This window comes from Homo sapiens, chromosome X, assembly GCF_000001405.40.
Source record: "Homo sapiens chromosome X, GRCh38.p14 Primary Assembly".
Lineage (NCBI taxonomy): Eukaryota > Metazoa > Chordata > Mammalia > Primates > Hominidae > Homo > Homo sapiens.
In genome coordinates this window covers 116,668,070-116,684,827 of record NC_000023.11, presented here as the reverse complement: position 1 = coordinate 116,684,827, position 16,758 = coordinate 116,668,070, and the positions used below count along the sequence as shown (strand labels likewise).

At 33.8% G+C, this 16,758-nt stretch overlaps 1 pseudogene; it reads left to right on the top strand.

Moving 5' to 3' along the window:
* SLC6A14P1 (SLC6A14 pseudogene 1) lies at positions 6,555–15,018 on the top strand (annotated as a pseudogene).

Genomic DNA, 16,758 nt, shown 5'->3' with positions numbered 1-16,758 from the left:
TTTTATACAGCGTTCCTTATTTTAATTATGTTTTGTGTTCATATGCTATTGATAAAATAATTTTGTATTATTCCTAAAGGAGAAGCCTATGTCTTACATATCTCTGTATCTCTTACATGCTTTTACAGTAATTTTCACATAGTAGATTCTTAACATATTTTTCCCCAATTTTTTGTAATCAGAGACACCTGCAGAGTGAATTTAGGTAGTTGTCTTTCTAAATTAGAAAAATAATCAAATAAGAAAGCATATGCATTTGCTTACATATACCTGCCTTGTCAATTAACAACATTTCTTGTGGGGTTTAAAATAATATTTCCCAACTAATATAGTTTTAACATAACGAAATGACCAAGTTTCTAAAATTCAGTGCCTAAGGTAGTGTTGTACATTTTTTGCTACTATAGTGGAATATCATGGACTGGTTAATTTATAATAAATAGAAATGTATTTGACTTAAGAAAAAAGAATAGTCTTTTCAACAAATGGTGTCTGGACAACAGGATATCCACATACAAAAAATGAATTTGAAATCTTACTACACAATATATAAAATTTAATTCAAACAGGATCAAATATCCACATGTAAAAGTTAAACTATAAAACTCTTTAAAGGACAGGCATAATCTTCATGACCCTGGATTTGGCAATGCTTTTTAAAATATAATACCAAAAGCACAAAGAACCAGGAAAAAAATAGATAAATTGCATTTCATCAGAATTAAAATACTTTGTGTTTCAAAGGGCATTATCAAAAGTAAAAAGACAATTTACTGAATGGGGAAAGATGTTTACACATCACATACCTGATAAGAGTCTAGTATTCAGAGTATATAAAGAACTTTTAGAATTCAATAATGAAAAGACAATGGACCCAATTTGAAAATGGGCATAGAATTTAAAAAGATATTTCTTGAGTTAATTTTTGTACATGGTAAAAGAAAGGGGTCCAGTTTCTCAAGATGAATTAAAAACTTAAATGTAAAACCTAAAATTATAAAAGCCCTGGGAGACAACCTAGGCAATACCATTTAGGACATAGGCACAGGCAAAGATTTCATGACGAAGATACCAAAAGCAATTTTGAGAAATGCAAAAATGACAAATGGGATCTAATTAAACTAATGAGCTTCTTCTGCACAGCAAAAGAAACCATCAACAGGGCAAACAGACAACCTACAGCATGGGAAAACATTTTTTCAAACTATGCATCTGACAAAGGTCTAATATCCAGCATCTGTAAGAAACTTCAACAAATTTACAAGAAAAAAATACATTAAAAAGTGGGCAAAGGACATGAACAGACACTCCTCAAAAGAAGACATACATGTGGCTAAGAATCATATGAAAAAAAGCTCATCACTAATCACTTGAGAAATGCAAATCAAAACCACAATGAGATATAATTTCACATCAGTCAGAATGGCTATTAGTACAAAGTCAAAAAATAACTGACTCTGGCAAGGTTGTGGAGAAAAAGGAATGCTTATATAATGTTGGTGGGATTGTACATTCGATCAGCCATTGTGGGAGACAAGGTGGTGATTCCCCAAAGATCTAAAGAGAAAAATACCATTTGATCCAACAATCCTATTACTGGGTATATACCCAAAGAAATATAAATCATTCTTTTATAAAGACATATGGATGTGTATGTTCATTGCAGCACTATTCATGATAGCAAAGACATGGAATCAACCTAAATGCCCATCAATGATAGACTGGATAAAGAAAATGTAGTACATATACACCACGGAATACTATGCATCCATAAAAAGGAACAAGATCATGTCCTTCACAGGGACATGGATGGACCTGGAGGCCATTATCCTTAGCAAACTTACAGAGGAAGAGAAAACCAAATACTGCATGTTCTTACTTGTAAGTGGCAGCTAAATGATGAGAACACATGGACACATAGAGGGAAAAATACACATTGGGAGGGAGGAGGGAGAGAGGATCAGAAAAAATAACTAATGGGTACTAGGATTAATACCTGGGTAATGAAATAATTTGTGCTCCAATGACATAAGTTTACCTATGTAACAAACCTGCATTTGTACCCTTGAACTTAAAATAAAAGTTAAAAAAAAAAAGACATTTCTCCAAAGCAGATCCACAATGGCCAATATATACATGAAAGAATACTCATCATTAGTCATCAATGCAAATCAAACCCACGATGGGACACCACTTCACACCCACTAGGTTTGTCTGTCAAAAAAACAGACAATAACAAATGTTGGCAAGAATGTGGAGAAATTGAAACCCCATACTTTTATTTTATTTTATTATTATACTTTAAGCTATGGGAAACGTGCAGAACGTGCAGATTTGTTACATAGGTATACACGGGCCATGCTGGTTTACTGCACTCATCAACCCATCATCTACATTAGGTATTTCTCCTAATGCTATCCCTCCCCTAGCCCCCCACCCCTGAACAGGCCGCGGTGTGTGATGTTTCCCTCCCTGTGTCCATGTGTTCTCATTGTTCCCACTTATGAATGAGAACATGCGGTGTTCGGTTTTCTGTTCCTGTGTTAGTTTGCTGAGAATGATGGTTTTCAGCTTCATCCATGCCCCTGCAAATTACGTGAACTCATCCATTTTTATGGCTGCATAGTATTCCATGGTACATAAGTGCCACGTTTTCTTTATCCAGTCTATTGTTAATGGTCATTTGGGTTGGTTTCAAGTCTTTGCTACTGTGAACAGTGCTGCAGTAAACATATGTGTGCATGTGTCTTTATAGTAGAATGATTTATAATCCTTTGGGTATATACCCAATAATGGGATTGCTGGGTCAAACGGTATTTCTGGTTGTAGGTCCTTGAGGAATCGCCCCACTGTCTTCCACAATGGTTGAACTAATTTACACTGCCACCAACAGTGAAAAAGCGTTCCTGTTTCTCCACATCCTCTCCAGCATCTGTTGTTTCCTGACTTTTTAATGATGGCCATTCTAGCTGGCATGAGATGGTATCTCATTGTGGTTTTGATTTGCATTTCTCTGATGACCAGTGATGATGAGCTTCTTTTCATATGTTTGTTGGCTGCATAAACGTCTTCTTTTGAGAAATGTCTGTTCATATCCTTCGTCCACTTTTTGATAGGGTTGTTTGTTAATTTCTTGTAAATTTGTTTAAGTGCCTTGTAGATTCTGGATATTAGTCCTTTGTCAGATGGATAGATTGCAAAATTTTTCTCCCATTCTGTAGGTTGCCTGTTCACTCTGATGATAGTCTTACCATTTCAATTATCTTGGGTATATACCTAGGAGAGAAATTGCTGGTAACATGGTAACTTTGTTTAAAACTTGAGGAACTGACAGACTCTTTTTCAAAGTATCTACACCTTTTTACATTTCTTGTGTAAATGTAAATTTAAATTAATTGTAAATTTCTTGTGTAAATGTAAAAAGGTGTAGACACTCTGAAAAAGAGTCTGGCAGTTCCTCAAATTTTAAACAGAGTTACCATGTGACCCGGCGATTTCTCTCCTAGGTATATAACCAAGATAATTGAAAACATAAGTCTACACAAAAAAGTGTACACAAATATCCATAGCAGCATTATTCATAATAGCCAAGGTAGAACCAAGCCAAATGTCATCAGGTGATAAATGTGTAAGTAAAATATGATCTATCTATATGATTAAATGTTATTCAGCCATAAAAAGGAATGAAGTACTGATTTGTGCTAAAACATAGATGAACCTTTAAAATATTATGCTTTGTGAAAGAAGCCAAAGATAAAAAGCCAAATGTTGTACGATTACTTTTTTATGGCATTTCCAGAACAGGCAAATTTAACAGAGACAGAAAGTGGATTTGTGGTTACCAGGGCTGAAAAAAAGGAAGATTGGGTAGTGACTGTTACTGGGTATAGGGTTCCTTTTTGGGGTGGTAAAAATATTCTGAGATGCGAAAGTGGTCATGGTTATGAACATGCTAAAACCCACTAAATTGTACACTTTAAAATGATGAATTATATAGTATGTAAATAATATCTCAATTTATAGAAGGATTAGACAGGAGTAAATGGGGAATATGCACGTATTCAGTAAGTTTGATCATTCTGGGACTGACATAACAAAGAACTACAGCAATTCCAAGATAGGAGGTTATGTTCAGCTACAAAAATGTAAAAATAAAGGAATCAGTGGAGAAACAGAAATTGGAAAAAAAAAGTTGTATAAAATCAAAGAATTTACATCTAACTGCATACCCACTGACCAAAATAGAGAATACTAGGGTTTTGAAAATTTGGATTGGCTGAAGTTTTGTTTACTCTGAAGTTCAGAGTGATCTAGACTTTCCAAAGTTTAGAGCCAGGCCTTTTAATAAAATGTTCTTGCCCCTTCATATTGTTAGTATCTATCAATAAAGGCTCACAGGAGATTGATATATTAATAAGATACAATATTCATGAAGCTTCCCCCGGATAAATTATATTACAAAATGCAATGTATTTTCTATAACACAAGTGATTCTGTGATCAGAAAACAGCTTATGTGTTTCAGTAAAATGGTGCTCCAACGGACAAGTGGAATGGATGAGACTGCAGTAATTGTGTGGTATTTAGCATTTTGTTGTCTTCTGGCTCGGCTCATACTTGGGGCAGCACTATTTAAAGGAATCAAGTCCCCTGCCAAGGTAATTTGAAAAATACATTAGATAGTGATATGGCAGCTTTCTAATTTCATTGTAGTTCATTGTCAAGCATTATCAAAAGCATTTTTCTTTCTATAATGGAAGGATTCAAATGTATGAAAAGCTTTCTAAGTAGTCATCTTAAGCTATAAGTAAATATATAGGATCTCTGGTGTTTTTTTTTTTTAGACGGAGTTTCGCTCTTGTTGCCCAGGCTGGAGTGCAGTGGCATGATCTCGGCTCACTGCAGCATCTGCCTCTCAGGTTCAAGCAATTCTCCTGCCTCAGCCTCCCGAGTTGCTGGGATTACAGGCATGTGCCACTATGCCAGGCTAATTTTGTATTTTTAGTAGAGACAGGGTTTCTCCATGTTGGTCACGCTGATCTCAAACTCTGGACCTCAGGTGATCCGCCTGCCTTGGCCTCCCGAAGTGCTGGGATTACAGGCAGGAGCCACCGTGCCCAGCCCGGATCTCTGTCTTGCTAAATACAAAACAAACAAACAAAATAGTAACTACTACTAGAGTTGCACAATTACTCAAAAATTGGACCCTTTTAGCTGATACAGCATTCTGAGGCTTGAGAGTATATTATAAAATTTTCTATCCTACCATATAAGGAAGCATTTTGAATGGAATCGTATATTGCAATGTTTGGTTTGGAAAATCTAGATCCTTGTTCTATAGAATAATAGTATCAGGAATCCCCTAGTTGGAGAGAGAGAAAGAGAGAGAAATGTGTATATGTGTGTGTGTGTGTGTGTGTGTGTGTGTGTGTGTGTGTGTGTGTGTGTACACACACTGTATTTATTCTCTTAAATATTGCCAAAATATACACAGAACTTTTTCTCTCAGGGAAATGGCCTCTTTTGAAAAACATTCTGTTATATTTTCCTGCTTAATTTTTTACTTTTATAAACTTTCAGGGAAAATCATGATAATTTAAGAAAACAACATGAAATTTTCTCCGTGAATAGTTGCACAATACCCAGAAAAAATGTCTATGAGTTTTTAACTAGTCAATGGAAATTTCTGTAAGGTGGAGGACAGGAATAACTGGGGATCTTATCTTTGTATTCTCAGTACAATATCCAGCACATTCAGTTAATGTTAAGTTGTAATGAGACATGCTGTTACATCACAAAAATACTGTGAATATCACAAATCCAGGGAAAACTTCCTAAAATGTTTTAGTTCCACATTTTTTAAACCCTTGGTTTCCTTTTGATGTTAATATTGAAAGAGTCCATTAAAGGCCATTTACCCAGGCGATTAATTTTTATTGGTCTCTGAATGACTTGTTTAAATCATCTCCTTGGATGTATTATAAAACATAGGACATCTATGGATCAAAGAAAACATCCATATTCAGGCAAAGCTGGTCTCAAAGGCAATCTGCTCATCTGGAACCATGTGTAATCTGGTACAGAAGCAGTGCACTTGTATGTATGCTATCAAACTCTCTTAATGGTAGCTGTAAGGATAACAGTAACAAGTGTCCAGTATTCACTTCAGTATGCTTTTCTGGGATTTGGATATCTACTAGAAAATATTTTCCTTCGTCTTGAAGGCTGAATATATACTAACCACTGCAGGGTTTAAAATCATTTCCTGCCTCATCTCAATGCAGTAATTTACTGAGAGAAGAAGGATACAACCTAAACCTGGGAAATGCTGATTAATACATCAAAGTATTTTTTAAATGGATCATTTGAGAGTTGTGAGAACACAAATAAGAAATTATGCTAACTTTGCTATATCATCAGACCCTATGAAATCCCAGTATTTTATTTAAATAATCTCAACTTGCTAATAATTTTACTTGTGTACAATTATATATGATTGTAAATATATATCATGATTTAAAAAATAACATTAATTTTTGGTTATTTTTTTGTTAAGTGTTATATTTTACAGCTCTTTTCCCCTATGTGGTCCTACTCATCTTGTTAGTAAGAGGTGCAACTTGGGAGAGTGCTTCAGTAGGCATTTCATACTATATTGGAGCACACATTTTACAAAACTTAAGGAAGCTGAGGTGAGTCTTATTTTGGATTTCGAATTATCTGAGGAGGTAAATCTTAAAAGCAAATGCCAAAAATCTTTGGTTCCATATGAATATCATAATGTAGTAGCTCGCAACAAAATATACAGCTAGATTTATTAGTTTCTATCCACTAGGATATCTGATTTAGCTAATATTTAATATGCCATTAATGCTCTTTTATTGATGGTGAGATAATTTTTAGAAATAGGATTTTAAAAGTCATTTTTTATTCATTTAAACAGATTCTATTTGACCAACAAAATTTTGGGCTTATTAATCTGAAAAATAATATTGCATTCATAAATACCTGCAAGTTGATGACTAGGGCTATGTGTTTTATTGGATAAACTCATAGTAGCTTTAGAGATTACTGTTGAAAGTTTAATGGTCTAATATACATTTTAATTTTCTTCAAAATTTAATATCCCCAAAATATTGTCAAGTTTTGCCTAGTGAATTGTGAAGTCAAAACATAAATATGACATGGATTAAGCATTCCATAACCAAAATTGTTACTTATACCAAAAATCTAAACATATGCCATGAAAAAGAATTAGGTAACACTCTTTTAACTTTACCTTTAGATAATGGCTGAGTATATCACTGGTATGTAAAATCATTTACAGTTTTACTGCAGAGAGTATTAACAGTAAGTGTACTACAGATAGTATGCTTCTATCAGTATGGCCTAGAATGCTTTCACTTTTTTACTAGTCACATCACATTCTTAGCACACATTAAGTTCTGTTCAAGTAAAAACCTGTAATCTTATGTTGAAATCAAGAGACACTATGTTAATATTATCTGCCATACTAGTGGTACTATTCAAAATGGATATTAGTTTTAGTTTGCTATAGTATTCTTCATGGAACTCATGCTAATTTCCAGCCATTGCTGTTTTCTTTTCTAAATATTTACAAGAGGATATGTAATTATTTTTTGTAAGTTTTTTGGTAAGCAGTGCCAAGTGTATGAGATTTTAGTTGTGGAAATCTGTCATTTATTTACAATTACCTTTCTGAAAATTGAAATGTCAATCATTGGTCTTTGGTTACATTTTTGTGCTCAGTAATTTCTACTCAACGATTAATCACATAACCAAGTTATTTTAGATCTATGGAATTGTATTATTATAGTCTTGGAGCTTAATATACTTTGATGTGTCCACAGGCCATCTTAATTTGTTTCTTCATTTATCTTGGGCCTTACTCTTTTTATCCCTGTGGGTTAATCTCTTCCCCATTTGAAGACCATTTTGGATGGTGAATAAAAAATAAAATGAAAGTTGGGATTCATCACCTTCTCTATGTTAGGTTACTGAACAAGATAAAATATGTTAATGCACTTGGAAATAGTAAACTTTTTAATAAATATGAGGTAACACACAATTATTTCAATTATTTCTGTTACATTATACTATCTTGTTATAGTTGCAACATTTTCCCTAGGAAGTAGATTCACCATTTTCTTTAAAACTCATGACTTTGAGCATAGTTGAAAAGCACCTTTGATATTCTTTTAGTGGATTTTAAAAGCCCAAGATAACTGGATTTTGTACTTACTTGAAACCATTCTGAAAAATTTATATGATTCTTTTTTATTGGCCCGTGTTTCAGTGTCTCTAATATCTTTAAAAAAATCAGAGTGAAACCTAAAGCTCCTTGTGAAACATACAATTTAATCTTCTCACCCTCTGCTCTCCAACACAACACAACCGAACTCCTTCTTTGGGTTTGTTGGCAGTGAGAATTGTTTTTCTTTTCTTTTTTTTTTTTCCCTTTCAATTGATTTATTTCTCTTGTTTTCTAAATCTTCAGCTTGCTTTCCTTATTAACATTCTAGTGTTCCATTATACAGTAGGGTGGCTATAGTTAACAATAATACATCGCATATTTCAAAATAGTTAGAAGAGAGGATTTTGAATGTTCTTACCACAAAGAAATGACAATGTCTCAGTAATGGATATAATTACCCGAATTTGATTGTTATACATTGCATACATGTATCAAAACATCACACTGTACCCCACAAATATGTACAATTATTATGTGTCAATTAAAAAATTTAATAACTGATTAATTAAGGTTATCCTTAATTAAATAATGAACAAAGAGTTTTCCTTGTTGTCTATCAAGACTTTCTAAAACAACATGGTCTGCCAGCTGCGGTGGCTCATGCCTGTAATTCCAGCACTTTGGGAGGCTGATTGGGGTGGATCACTTGAGGCCAGGAGTTCGAGACTAGCCTGGCCAACATGGTGAAACCACATCTCTAGAAAAATACAAAAATTAGCTGGGCACAGATTGTATTCCTCACAATCTATGTTCTAAACAGAGAATTATAATCAGGTGTCCTTCCTTTTCTTTGAATATCTGAACTCCATTGAGATCTCCAGGAGAGTAGAGAACCATACAAATTTATAGATAGAGAGGTCTTCAGGAATGCAGAAATTATTTTTCTAACTACCTCATTACAGTGATGAAACTAAAACCAAGATAGATTCAAATTGTGCCAATAGTGTACAGCCAATTAATGCAATTTGAATTAGGATTTCCTAATCTCTAATGTAATAATATTGTATATGGATATGAGATTCATAGATATGGAGATTTAAACTATGTTCGGAATTTATCTTCACTTTTGTTTGCAACCTAGGTACACATCATAGTATGCAGTAGCATTCTTACACAGCACAGAACTGCCACACCCACTTCCAGCTCCCCTGTCACACAGGCACACATAATCTATCAAGTAAAAGAAGGTCAGAGACCAACCTGAGCATGCTGCTTATCTCTTAATATGGACAAAAGCCTAAGAAAAAAGAGGGAATTTTATTTCTAATATGATTTTCTTAAATATAAATAAAATAACCTTAATCTATCCCAAAACAGTTTTCTGTGGAACTTGAAAACTGATTGTAAATTTTGTTCGAAAAAGAAAAAGGTCAAAACCCCAAGGTGTATCTGATGTGAAAAGGACTTGTCCTTTATTTAAATAAAGATAGGAAACAATATTTATATACTGTACTAATTAAAATAGTGAGTTGTTAGCATAGGTATAGGTATATAGGCCAATGGAACAGGATAGTAATCTCAGAAATAGATTAAAAAACAAATGGAACTTGGCATGTGGCAGAGGTGGCAATGCAGATCAATAGGGAAAGGGATAATCATCCAATTGATAGAGTTGATATCTAATTGATTTAATTGATAATATCAATTATCCTTGAACAATTGATATCCTATTTAGGAAACACCATCAGTTGGAAATTTCACATATCATTCACATATCACATAAATTGATATGCACAATGTCAATATTAGGTGAATTGAAAATTTGACAATATAGGCAAAAACTTGAATTCTTTTAGAAGAACATATAGAATAGTACCTTTATAACCTTGGGCTAAGCAGTTTTTAAAAGTAACAGAGATCAAGGGCAATACATATAATCAAAGATGGATACCTTCATTTTCAGTAAACCCACAACAACTGTGGTTAATCAAAGGATACAATGTTAAAAGGTAAAAAAAATAAGCCACAAATTGGGAGGCAAAAAATCAACATATATAATAGACAAAGAATTAGAATCCAAAAGACATCAATAATTATTAGAAACCAAGTAACACAGGCCAAACCAAAAACTGGCAAAAGACATAAACAAGAATTTCACAGAAAAAAAATCCTATGGAAAATGAAGTGTTGGCAAGTATATGGTGGAATGGGAACCCTCAAACCCAGCTAGTGGGAGTGCAAAATGGTATAACCACTTTAAAGAACAATTTGGCAAGATTTAGTAAAAGAGGGGAATGCGTATACTTTTCAACATCACAGTTCCACACCTACATATGGGGAATATATAAGAATGTTTACAGCTCTATAAGAGCAACACAGTGAATGACCTAAATGTCCATCAACAGGAGAAAGGATAAATTGTGACATATGCATTGTGGCAATAAAGAATGATTAAAAGAACTATATATATTTAATTTAAACAAATACATTTGCTTATATTCTTTCATTTTAGAATCATAAAGTGGACACTTTATATAGTTCAATTTGCTGATGGATAAATCTCACAATACCAAATAGAAAAGTGCACATTGTATATGTTTACATGCATTAAAATAACTTTTCTATAAATTCCAAAACATTCAAACCTAGTATAAAAAAGAACAAAGAAATGATGAACACAAAAGTCAGGATAGCAATTACCACTGGAGGGTGATAGGGTGATGTAATCAAGAAGGGACAGTAATATTTTATTTCTTAAGCTGAGTAGTGGCATTTGGGTGTTCATTTCACTGTTACGTATAATATATTAATTTGCATATGTGAGATACTTATACAAATAAAAAATTGAGTATATGTTTTAAAATATTAAATTATTTTCTCTTATAGGTTTGGGTAGATGCTGACACTCAGATATTTTACCCCCTTTCAGTGGCTTGGGGTGGCTTAGTTGCTCTATTATCTTACAATAAGTTCAAAAACAACTGCTTCTCTGATGCCATTGTAGTTTTTTTGACAAACTGTCTCACTAGTGTGTTTGCTGGATTTGCTATTTTTTTCTATATTGGGCCAAATGGCTCATATATCTGGAAAGGAATTTTCTCAAGTTGGAAAATCAGGTATATAATACCATATATTATCAACTCTGATTAATTCAATGTATCTCACTTATGAAACTCTAATATAGTTTATAGAAATTTACTTAAAACAGTCATAATTTAGAGTATTGCATTTTCTTTCTCATTTTGTCTTTGTACTAGGATTCTCTAGAGGGACAGAAGTAATAGGATGTGTGTGTGTGTGTGTGTGTGTGTGTGTGTGTGTGTGTGTATTATATATTAATAAATATATATATATTTATTAAATACTACCTTACATGAGTTTATTAAATACTATCTTACATGATCACACGGTCCCACAATAAGCTGTCTGCAAGCTTGAGGAGCAAGGAGAGCCAGTCCGAGTCTCAAAACTGAAAAACTTGGAGTCCAGTGTTCGAGGGCAGAAAGCATCCAGCACGGGGGAAAGAGGTAGGCTGGGAGGCTAGGCCAGTCTCGCCTTTTCACGTTTTTCTGTCTGCTTTACATTCTCTGGCAGCTGTTTAGATTGTGCCTACCAGATTAAGGGTAGGTCTGTCTTCCCCAGCCCACTGACTCAAATGTTAATCTCCTTTGTCAACACCCTCACAGACACACCCAGGATCAATCCTTTGCATCCTTCAATCCAGTCAAGTTGACACTCAGTATCACCCATCACAGTCTTACATAATTTGGTTGCCTTAATAATATAATAATTCTTAGATTATCCATGTAAACAGGAGTATATTAGGAAAACATTGCTTAAGAAAATAGAATGTTTTCCCAGATTTTGTTTAGTCCTTAATATGAACTACTTACTGTACAACTACAAGGTTCAGGCATCATGCTAAGCACTTCCCATACATTTATGAATACATATAAAATGTATATAAACATGGACAGAATAACATATACAATCCATGGTAACAATTGCCTCTAGAGAAAAATGTGAATTGTATCAGGGAGAGAAAGACAATATACAAATTCCTTATGTAAAATTAAAGTATTGGGACTGATTATTTAAAACATATGAATATTATAAAGGTAAGAGAGTCAAGTGACTTTGAGTGTCCAGCTTTAAAGAAAACTTCGTGAACTCCCTAACTTTAACGAACAAAACAACCAAATCCAATGTTTTTAAAAAGGAAAGTGAAACAGTTGGTAAAGAATTTATGTCATAGATTGTGTTGCCAAATAAGATGAGATTTTTCTAATATCTTATTTTTTAAATGTTTAAATATTGGTAACTAATTTAAAATATCATACATTTTTGTATGTTTTGATTTGGCATTCATTGCCTATCCAGAAGCTCTAGTGCAACTACCAGGTGGTCCATTTTAGATCATATTATTTTTTTCAAGCTTTTAAATTTGGGTCTCGATTCTCAGTTTGCTTCCATTGGTAAGTAATATTTCCAGTGTTAACACAACACATTTCATTTGTGTTTCCTCTAATTGACATGCTTTTATTACCCATATTGCCCCCTAGCAGTTAATCTCAGAATGACCTTTCTGAAAGATATTTTAACTTAAATTTAAATACAGAAAAATACTTGACACTCAAAAGGAATACCCAATAATATTTTATCATACTTCTTTCAGCTATTTAAAAAAATAAAGTGTTACAGGTGAATTTGAAGTCCCCTGTCTTTCTCTCCCTGATACAATTCATATTTTTCTCTAGAGGCAACTGTTACCATGGATTGTGTATGTTATTCTGTCCATGTTTATATACATTTTATATGTATTCAAAAATAACATATACATTTTTAAATTTTCCCATAAATGTGAAGTTTCATGGCATACATATTACTCTGAAAGTTGTTTTTGCATTAATTATGAATCAAGTTGATACATAGGTATATAGATCTAATTAAATCACAATCTCTTTTTACCATAATAATGAGCATTTGAATAATTTAATTAAAAAAATTACACACACTGCTGCAATGATCATACTTGCACATAGTTCTATGCACATATAGGGATTTACCTAGATTATATGACGAGGGAAATTCTGAAAAAAAAATTTCATTCTACCACTCTCTCATATAAAACAGTTTCATAGTTTACTCTGTTTATAGGATAAAATCCAGAGTTTTCTTGTTGACTTTTAAAATCCTCGAAAATCTCAAACATCTTTTCTGATATTTTCATTCACACATCTTTCTACTCTTGGCCAGTTCCCTATTTCATGAACACATTTATTTCTAAACCTAGAATCCTTTATGTCTCCATACCACTGATTCAAATATTTACCTTATTTAAAAGTCCTATTAGAATTCTTCCTTTTAGACGAATTCAGCTCACAGAGGACTGTTACCTTACGATTGCTATCAATGAAAAATCATATAAAGCAGACTAAAAACAACAAATAGAACTGCATTCAGTTTTCATCAGAACCAAGTAATGACTGCCAAAAGAAATGACCCTATGGGTTTTTAAAAGCAAGGAGCAGGGCTCAGAGTGTCTACTCAACATATGTTTGTAAATTTGATAAACAGACATGGAATTCTGTGATTAACAGTATTGGCAAATAAGTTGATATATAACATGTCATTTTTCCCCCTCTGAAGAAGTGATCAAAACAACGATTCAAGATTTACTTCCCAAAGTGATGAAGAAAATGATGGTTTCCATAACTTTGGGCTGCTGCTTGGTTTTGTTTCTCCTTGGTCTTGTCTGTGTGACTCAGGTATACTACAGCATTTTTTTCGTACACAAATTATTAGTTGGAACATACTTTATAACCTAACGAAAGAAACGAAGGCTTAAGAGGTTGCTTAGTGACAAGTCCAGGTCTGACTTGGATCAAGGTTTTCTGGGTTTTAGCCCATTTTTCTCCATTATTACTTTCATAAGTCTATTTTGCAGATGAGGAGGCCGAATAATGGACAGTTACTTCAGTTACAATAAGATTACAGACTTTAAACACTACAGATACAGATACTACATTTCTTGGTAACCACTGCAGAACATACAGACATTGCATACCATTCTGATAATCAACTATTCTAAGTGCTTGTTTTTTTTCCAGTGACTCAATATAGATTGAAAGATTTTTGAGATATTTAAAGCCACATTTGGGTTTACACCTGAAACATTCCTTTACACATTTTAGCAGAGGTGAAACTAAGGAACATATGTCAAGATTAAGTTAATAGATTCAATTTGAATACCTCAGCAATCATAAAAATGATTAAAATATACTTAGAAGTAATCAATATTTTTTGGTAGACTGGAATTTACTGGATTCATCTGATTGACCATTTCTGTGCTGGATGGGGCATTTTAATTGCAGCTGTGCTGGAGCTAGTTGGAATCATCTGGATTTATGGTAAATAGTAACTATAAAATTATTTTCAAGTTTTATTAAAATAGTTTAGTTTGACTCATTTTCATTATGTTTACCTAATTATACTATTAATTTTTATACTATTATAATAGTAAAGTACAATATACTGGACAAAATATATTATGAAGAAAATGTAGTTACAGGTGTATGCTTCATTGTTGTGCTACAGAAAAATGTTTAGACACAGAAAGATCATTGATGCCACAATGGTTATTGGAAGAAAATACTAGCAAACATTCAATGTACTCTTTGTCTTGTTTAGGAGGGAACAGATTCATTGAGGATATAGAAATGATGATTGGAGCAAAGAGGTGGATATTCTGGCTATGGTGGAGAGCTGGCTGGTTTGTCATTACTCCTATCCTTTTGATTGTAAGTAATAATATACCATGACATTGGTATCAATAATATATACATTCTAAAACTTAGTAATTCACATTGAAGACAAAAGGCAAACTAATTTTATAAGTGAATGATTTTCAAGTTTTGCAGTATTTATAGCTGGTGCCTCCAAGTTGCTTCAATTAAAACGCCTTTGCAGTATTATTTTGAGACCATCAGTTTAAACATTTACCATTTGAGAAAATAAACAGGTTCATATACACTTAAAAGTTATCAATAATTTAAAATTTATCAGTAGAATAAAGGAAAATAAATCATGAATTTTCTTATTCCCTAAAAAATATTTTGAGCCAACAATAATGTTCCTAACCATTCTGCCAGGCACAGAAAACACAGAGATACATAAGGCCTACATCCTGCCTTCAAGGAATTCAGTTTAAATATACTGACTGCTGAGAAACACCAGTCATATTTTAATTCACATTTTATATCTTAATGAGGAAGGTATTTGGCAACTGAAAACAAAGAAACTTACCTGTGTCAATAGGGGCAATGGTTTATGTTAATAAATTCAACAATTAATACTATTTAGGAGCTGAGGTAATGCAAAAGTTGTTTTACTTGAGAGACATAACATATAGACTTAAAATCTTCAAATAATATTTTAGGACAGTAGATGGCTGAGCACCAAAATAAACACTACACTGGATGGAGAATGATTATGAGCTAGAAATAATGATGGTGGGGTGGGGCAGTGTCAAAGCTTCATAGATCTGTTTTGGTTTTCATTGTCTTCATGCTTCAAAGGTTTTCCTAGAAAAGGAAAAGTTTTGTGGGCTTTCCTGGTGGCCATTAAGGCCTCTGTCTTTTTCCTGTATTTCCTCACTCTCTTCTGGGCCTCCTTATCTCTATTATAAAACACTGAGGTGGCTACTTTCAGAAAGTTCTCTAAAATACTATCTGGTCCCAGGACCTGGTTGTAGCTTCCTCTTGATGTCAGGAGCTGCCTGGGTAATAAATTTATCCTTTAGGATTAGCTGTCCCTTGACTGAATCAGAAGATAGAGAGGTGTGCTTTACCAAGGCATCTCTTAGCGTTTCCAGAAAGGCAGTGAGATTTTTATCAAATCCTCGGTCAATCATGGACAACTTAGTATAATTGAGAGGCTTGGTCCTAGTTCGACATAAACCTTCCATTATGCACACCTAAAAGTGTCTCCTCTTCTAGTCTCCCATCTCATCACTGGAATTCCAGTTAGGGTCATTTACTGGTACTGCCTCTCTTCCAGTTGGATAATGTCTGCTCCTTTTCCTGATGCTATATATGATACAAAGCTCATCCCCAAATCCCTCTGCTGCTTTCAGAGTGGCCTGCTTCTCAGTGTCTGTCAGGATCTGATTCAAAAGTAACATAACGTCTCTCCAGGAGAGTTCAAATATTTGGGTGAAATTCTGGAAAGCCACTATATATCTATCAGGGTCATCTGAAAACTTTCCAAGATCCCCCTTAATTTACTTTAAGTCTTATAGGGAGAAGGCGACCTGGACCTTACTTGGTCCAAATTCACTGGGCATCTGTTGCAAGGGCAAGACTGAGACTGGGGCTGAATTAGGGTGAGGATTTTTTGGAGGGGGCAAGTGAGAGGCTGAAGCTGGATAGGGATGTCAGGGTGGACTCAGAGGAGCAGGGCTGGACGGAGCTGGTGCCTCTGCTGGGGGTGAATCTGAGACTCATATCTTTAATTCCCTGAGCTTGCCCTTGCAGCCTTCTCTGA